At 48.5% G+C, this 6,734-nt stretch overlaps 2 annotated features.

Annotated features, from left to right (window-relative positions):
• Positions 439 to 961: an enhancer, noted in NCBI's record as "H3K4me1 hESC enhancer chr12:115255288-115255810 (GRCh37/hg19 assembly coordinates)". NCBI's record gives its function as "activates a minimal SCP1, AML or CMV promoter by ChIP-STARR-seq in primed H9 embryonic stem cells {active_cell/tissue: H9 hESC(primed)}" and the evidence as "EXISTENCE:reporter gene assay evidence [ECO:0000049][PMID:30033119]".
• Positions 2,474 to 2,974: an enhancer, noted in NCBI's record as "H3K4me1 hESC enhancer chr12:115253275-115253775 (GRCh37/hg19 assembly coordinates)". NCBI's record gives its function as "activates a minimal SCP1, AML or CMV promoter by ChIP-STARR-seq in primed H9 embryonic stem cells {active_cell/tissue: H9 hESC(primed)}" and the evidence as "EXISTENCE:reporter gene assay evidence [ECO:0000049][PMID:30033119]".

The raw sequence follows: 6,734 nt of genomic DNA, 5'->3' as shown, positions 1-6,734 counted from the left end.
GCAAAAAGATATGGAAGAACCCATTCTTTGCAGCTTCTAAAACAATAATTGGCGGCATATAAGTGAACAAATGCTAGCTGGTTAACGCTGGTTAGTGGGCCTATTGGGTTGGTTGGCTGATTGATTGGCGAGGGCACAATGCCCCACCCAGAGGCCTAACATGACAGCAGAGTCAGGAGGGTGCCATAAATAACACGTTAACGACATGACGTTCGCAGGGCCAGGAATTCAGGAGGCGCCGCGTTGCTTTGCCCCTTTTGAATTCGCCGTGAAACCAGATCCCGCCTGCCTTCTACCAAGAAGGTGCCCGGAAAATCTGCAACCCAGGCACACAAGCGGGAGAAGTTCCAGGCCCAAGGGCTACAGGTCAGCCAGGGTCTCCGGCCCCCCGTCCTGTTCACCACCCACAGATGCCCCTGCCAGCTGCTCCAGGAGAGAGGCCCAGAGCTGAAATGGCACGCCTGCGTGCGTGCCGCATAGCAGGAGGACAATCTTGGCAGGCCTCTATGGGAAGCTTGCAGAACACCTGCCTCTGGGGTGTGTGGGGGCTGACCCTCTGTAGGGCCCCCACTTTCCCAGGGCCCTCAGTGATCCTCAGACGTGCCCTGGGCCCCAGCCACCGCTTTCAGCAGCAATCAGAGTAATGGCCCGCATCTGCTCCACTGATGAGTGGGTGGGTCAGGGAGACACAGCATTTCCAAGCACTTGTGCTTCCAGGATCTCAGAGCAGCGTGGGGGAGGAAAGGCAGCTCCAGCCAGCTCTGTCCCTGCCAAGCCAACACGACTGGGAAGCGCCATCTCCTCATTCAGAATCACCTTTCCCACCTCTTGGCCCACTCAGACAACCTTCAAAAGCTAGTTAATGTCGCCTTCTCTAGAGAGCCTCCCATGAGCCCAGGTCTCCCACCTCTGTCCACCGCCACGGAGTTTAGAAGCCCTGATAGTTGGATCCTCCTTGCCCAGTTCACTTCCCGGCTTAGAGGAGGCTGCTTAAAGCAAACTAAACAACAAAGGAAGGAGGACAAGGCCTTCTTAGTGTGGAGCTGCTGAGCTGGAAGTCAAGAATCAAAGAATCTGGCCGGGTGTGGTGGCTCATGCCTGTAATCCCAACGCTTTGGGAGGCCAAGGCGGGCGGATCACTTGAGGTCAGCAGTTCAAGACCAACCTGACCAACATGACAAAACTCCGTCTCTACTAAAAATACAAAAATTAGCCGAGTGTAGTGGTGCACACCTGTAATCCCAGTTACTCTGGAGGCTGACGCAGGAGAATCGCTTGAACCTGGGAAGCGGAGGCTGCAGTCAGCCAAGATCACACCACTACATGCCCACCTGGGCAAAAGAGTGAGAATCTATCTCAAAAAAAAAAAAAAAGGGAAAAGAAAAAGTAAAATGGTTAATTTTATGTTAAGTGAATCTCGACTCAATAAAAGAAAAAAAATTTCCAGGATTTCAAATCCATCTCTAATTCCTCCTAGTTTTAGAGCCCCCATAGTAACATCATTTTCCTGTTTCATAGTTGGGGAAATCAAGACCCAGATAGGAAACAGAAGTGGCTTCTGCTTTTAGATTTGGAGCTATTGTCAGGGTCTCCTGACTCCCCATCCACGGGTCTTTCTGTCTCCATGATGCCTCTTGGGCCTCATCCTGCTCCCAGCCAGCTGTGTCCCCTGCCCAAGTTTTCTCTCTTGAACCTGTTTCCTTCTACATAAAATTGGTGACTTGAGCAAGACATAATACCTTTCATATGATTTATGAGAGCATCTGGATGGCCACTAATTTTTACTCTAATAGTTCATTTTACCATGTACTAGAAAGTAAATACAATTGGCGGGGCACAGTGGCTCACGCCTATAATCCCAGCACTTTGGGAGGCCAAGGCAGGCAGATCACCTGAGGTCAGGAGTTCAAGACCAGACTGGCCAACATGGTGAAATCCCATCTCAACTAAAAATACAAAAAAAATTAGCCGGGCTTGGTGGTGAGCACCTGTAATCCCAGCTACTTGGAAGGCTGAAGCAAGAGAATCACTTGAACCCAGGAGGTGGAGGTTGCAGTGAGCCGAGATCATGCTACTGCACTCCAGCCTGGATGACAAGAGTGAGAGTCTGTCCCAAGAAAAGAAGAAGAAGAAGGAGAAGGAGAAGAAAAATACAATTAGCAAATCAAACTTTCAGCAATAGAGACTGAAGTGTGTGTATCTAAATGTTTTCTTTTTAAAAAAATTTTTCATGGGCTGGGAGTGGTGGCTCACACCTATAATCCCAACACTTTGGGAGGCCAAGGTGGGTGGATCACTTAGGCCAGAAGTTCAAAACCAGCCTGGGCAACATGGGGAAAACCAGTGTCTACTAAAAAAATCCAAAAATTAGCCAGGCATGGTGGTGCACACCTGTAATCCCAGCTACTTGAAAGGCTGAGGCACAAGGATCACTTGAACCCAGGAGGTGGAGGATGCAGTGAGCTGAGATAGCGCCACAGCACTCCAACCTGGGCAACAGAGCAAGACTCTGTCTCAAAAAAATAATAATCATAAAAAATGAAAATGTCGTGAATGCTTGCTTTCCTCTAAAAAATAATTCTTGCATTTGCCACACAAAAGCTAGAGAGCTTGACTATGTCTGTATCCCTTATTGGTGGGAAAGACTCATGTGTGCAGGCCTTAAAATAGATGTTTATTTAATTTTTTAAGTGAGTTGGTTTAGAGGAAAATATGAAGAGAGTAATCCTACAGGTGGTGTAATCATGGAAAAACAGAGCTAAGAAGGAACGTGGCTGACTGAAGTACAGGACTTGCTGGGTGGCAGCTGTGACATTCTACGAGCCCATGACAAGCCTTGGGCTTCCCCTGCCCCCTAGCATGGCTATTTAGGGTTCCAACCTAAAACACACCAGCCGGGATTGGCAAGGAGACAGGTGGGGCCTTGCGGGGACCCTCACTCGGGGAAACATATGAAGCTTTGTCTCCCAGCAGCCCCATGCTCCATACAACTGTTGGTCAGGACCCTTGGGCTCCATCCCTGGTCTGCCCAGCCCCCTTTTTAGCTCCCTTCCCCTGGTTCCCCCCTTACCTCCCCAGATATCTACATGGTGACCTCATCCTCCAAGCCCAAGCCCTGGGCTAGCCGCCCTGCTGAGAAGGGACTTTGAGGGAAAGACGTAGGTATAACCTCTCCAAGGGAAAGTGTCTACACTGAAACCGTGCCCAAAAAAAGTATTTAAATTGAAGCCCAGGGGCATACCTTTCTGAGGGTGGAATTTGAGGCCATGTGACAGGTGGCAGGGGGAGACATTTTTGGACGGTGGGGGACTTGCCAACATCTTTTGAGCGCATCCCCTAGGCAGCTGCTGAGTCCAGCATTTGGACAGGCAGGCAGTTCTTTTTCTGGGCAACTTCATTTCAGGAGTGGACAAGTTTGGCCTAGCTGGGCTGGCTGGAGGCTCTCAAATCCTCCAAAAGTTACCTTGCTACACAGTTTCTCCCCGGCAAGCTCAACCAAGAATTTGGTGGAGCTGGAAGAATGTAGACGTTGGAGCTGGACAGATCTGAGTTTGAGTTCTGGCTCTGTCTCTGGCCAGCTGTATGGCTATGGGTGTGCCCCTGCACCTCTGGGCCTCAGGCTCCTGCCTCCAACAGGAGGTGAATAATTCCAAACTTTGAGAATGATCAAAATGGATGTCCACAGAAGGCGGCACCTTGTAGGTGTGGATAAGCAGTGTATTATTTTAAAGAAAAGGTGAATTTTCTTTTAGACATAGCCCATCAGACTATGGCTTGGGGACTAAAAAGAAATGTCACCCAACAAAATATAATCTGGGTATATGTACGTTTGGGGATGAGGGATGAAAACATGAGTAGATGAAGAAAGAGAAGAAAACATTCCTTTAGACCAGGCTCAGTGGCTCATGCCTATAATCCTAAAGCTTTGGGAGGCCGAGGCAGGAGGATCACTTGAGGCCAGGAGCTCGAGACCAGCCTGTGGGCAACATAGCGAGACCTCATCTCTTCCAAAAATTTTAAAATGAGCTGGGGGTGGTGGTAAGCTACAGTCCCAGCTACTCAGGAGGATGAGGTGGGAGGATGGCTTGAGCCTGGGAGTTCGAGGCTGCAGGGAGCTGTAATTGCATCACTGCACTCCAGCCTGGGGGCAACTGAGCATGACCTGAAAAAAAAAAGAAAGAAAGAAAAAGAAGGAAGGAAGGAAGGAAAGAAAGAAAAAAGAAAGAAGGGAGGGAGGGAGGGAAAGGAAGAAAGAAAGAAAAGGAAGGAAGGAAGGAAGGAAGGAAGGAAGGAAGGAAGGAAGGAAGAAAAAAAGAAAGAAAGAAAGAAAAAGAAAGAAAGAAAGAGAGAAAGAAAGGAAAGAAAAAAAGGAAGGAAGGAAGGAAGACAGACTTTCCTCCAAATACATTTTTATACCTCTGGTTATTGAACCCAAGCAACCTTATTACCTACTCCCAAGATGAAATTTACAAACATACATCATGCAGGAGAGTAGCCTAATGTCCGCATGGTCCCCCCCAGCCCCGACCCCACCCCCCGCCATGCACACCCCCCGTCCCCACCCCTGATCGCAAACAAGGGCATTGCTTTGTGTCTCCCCTTAAGGCAGTTTGTAAAGAGCCCGAGTAAGGAGCGAAAACAAGGGCAACCCTCAAACAAGTTGTTGGACTTCGCCAAGCAACTGGCCTCCCCATCGCTAATTAAGTTAATCCGGGTGGGTTTTTCTTTTCTTTTCTTGCCTGATTCCCTCCTGCAGAATCAGCAGGAACACCAAAGAGAAATGTTCATGGTAACCCGCCAAGCAGGCCTTCTCTTCAGCTGACAAGATGCATTAACGCCACAGAGAAGGGAAACTTCCCCCCTACACCACACGAGTAATAAAAAACCTGTTTTGTTTTCAGCTGACCACACAGCGCATGTGCCAGGGTAAATAGATCTCCTTTCTGCGGCTTTTCACCCCCTTCTCCTCCACCATCCCCACCCTCTTTCCATGTTTGGGGAGTTTTGATATGTCATAACATTGTGTCTGTTTATCTGAAATATTTCCACTCAAAATGCTTGTTTGCTCAACCAGACTGACATGTTGACATAGCTCCCGACAGCTGAGTGACTCCGATTGAAATAAAATGTAAAGTAAACACATTTGCATACAGTTTATATACAGCCTGGGTCTGAGGAAGCAGAGGAAGTAGGGAGATTGAAATCCGAATTTCTTATCTTCCATCACCCCGGCCTTCAGGGACCCTCCCTTCTTTTTTCCAGCTCTCTGTTCCCGAAATGCCTCCTGAGTCATAGGCTCAGCCTGCCTTTGGGGGTCCGAAAAACATCCTTTCTAGTTTCTGCCTGATCTAGTTTCTTCCCTTCCTCGACGGGTGCGTTTGAAGGCCTGAGTAATTTTCTTACGAGCTCTGAGAGCATGAGCCCAGGCGAATCCAAACAAACGAGCTGTGTGTGTTTGAGCAGATTCCATCCTTCTTTGAGCCTCTTTTTGTGAAATGAGGGAGTTGCACTCAAGTTGATCTCTTGGAGATTTCCAATGTTGATCTTCTGTGTAGCCTGTCTCAGATACTCAGGAACACCACACTTTTAATGGTTGAGCTGTCCTGTCCTGGCACACAGAGACTAACTTGCTTTTTTTTTTTTTTTTTCTTCTTTTTTTTTGAGATACGCTTTTACCCTGTCGCCCAGATTGGAGTGCAGTGGTGTGGTCCCAGCTCACTGCAGCCTCCAACTTTTGCCTTCAGGCCATCCTCCCACCTCAGCCTCCCAAGTATCTGAGGTTATAGCCACAAGTCAGCACACGCATTGAAACCAATTTTCTCTTTCTTTTGTTCTCTTCCTTTTTTCTTTCTTTCTTTCTTTCTCTTTCTTTCTCTTTCTTTCCCTCTTTCCCTCCTTCCTTCCCTCCCTTTTCTTTTCTTTTCTTTTTTTTTCTTTTTCTGACACAGAGTCTTGCTCTGTAGCCCAGGCTGGAATGCAGTGGTGTGATCTCAACTCACTTCAACCCCCACCTCCCGAGTTCAAACAATTCTCCTGCCTCAGCCTCCCAAGTAGCTGGGATTACAGGTGCCCACCACTATGCTCAGCTAATTTTTGTATTCTTAGTAGAGACGAGGTTTCACCATGTTGGCCAGGCTGATCTTGAGCCCTTGACCTCGTGATCTTCCCACCTCTGCCTCCCAAAATGTTGGGATTACAGGCGTGAGCCACTGCACCCGGTCCCTTCCTTCCTTTTCTTTTTTGAGACAGGCTCTCACTCTGTTGAGCAGGCTAGAGTGCAGTGACATGATCACAGCTCACTATAACCTCAAACGCCTAGACTCAAGAGATCCTCCCATCTCAGCCTCCCAAGTAGCTGGGACTACAGATGCATACCACCAATCTGGCTAATTTTTTTAAATTTTTTCAGCCTCCTGCTACACCCAGGCAAGACTAATTTCTTTTTTTCTTTCTTTTTTTTGAGACAGAGTCTCGATCTGTCTCCCAGGCTGGAGTGCAGTGGCGTGATCTCAGCTCACTGCAAGCTCCGCCTCCCAGGTTCACGCCATTCCCCTACCTCAGCCTCCTGAGTAGCTGGGACTACAGGTGCCCGCGACCACACCCAGCTAATTTTTTTTTATTTTTAGTAGAGACAGGGTTTCACCATGTTAGCCAGGATGGTCTCAATCTCCTGGCCTCGTGATCTGCCTACCTCGGCCTCTCAAAGTGCTGGGATTACAGGCTTGAGCCACTGC

The sequence above is a fragment of the Homo sapiens genome, chromosome 12, assembly GCF_000001405.40.
Source record: "Homo sapiens chromosome 12, GRCh38.p14 Primary Assembly".
Classification (NCBI taxonomy): domain Eukaryota; kingdom Metazoa; phylum Chordata; class Mammalia; order Primates; family Hominidae; genus Homo; species Homo sapiens.
This window is presented reverse-complemented; position numbering and strand designations above follow the sequence as displayed.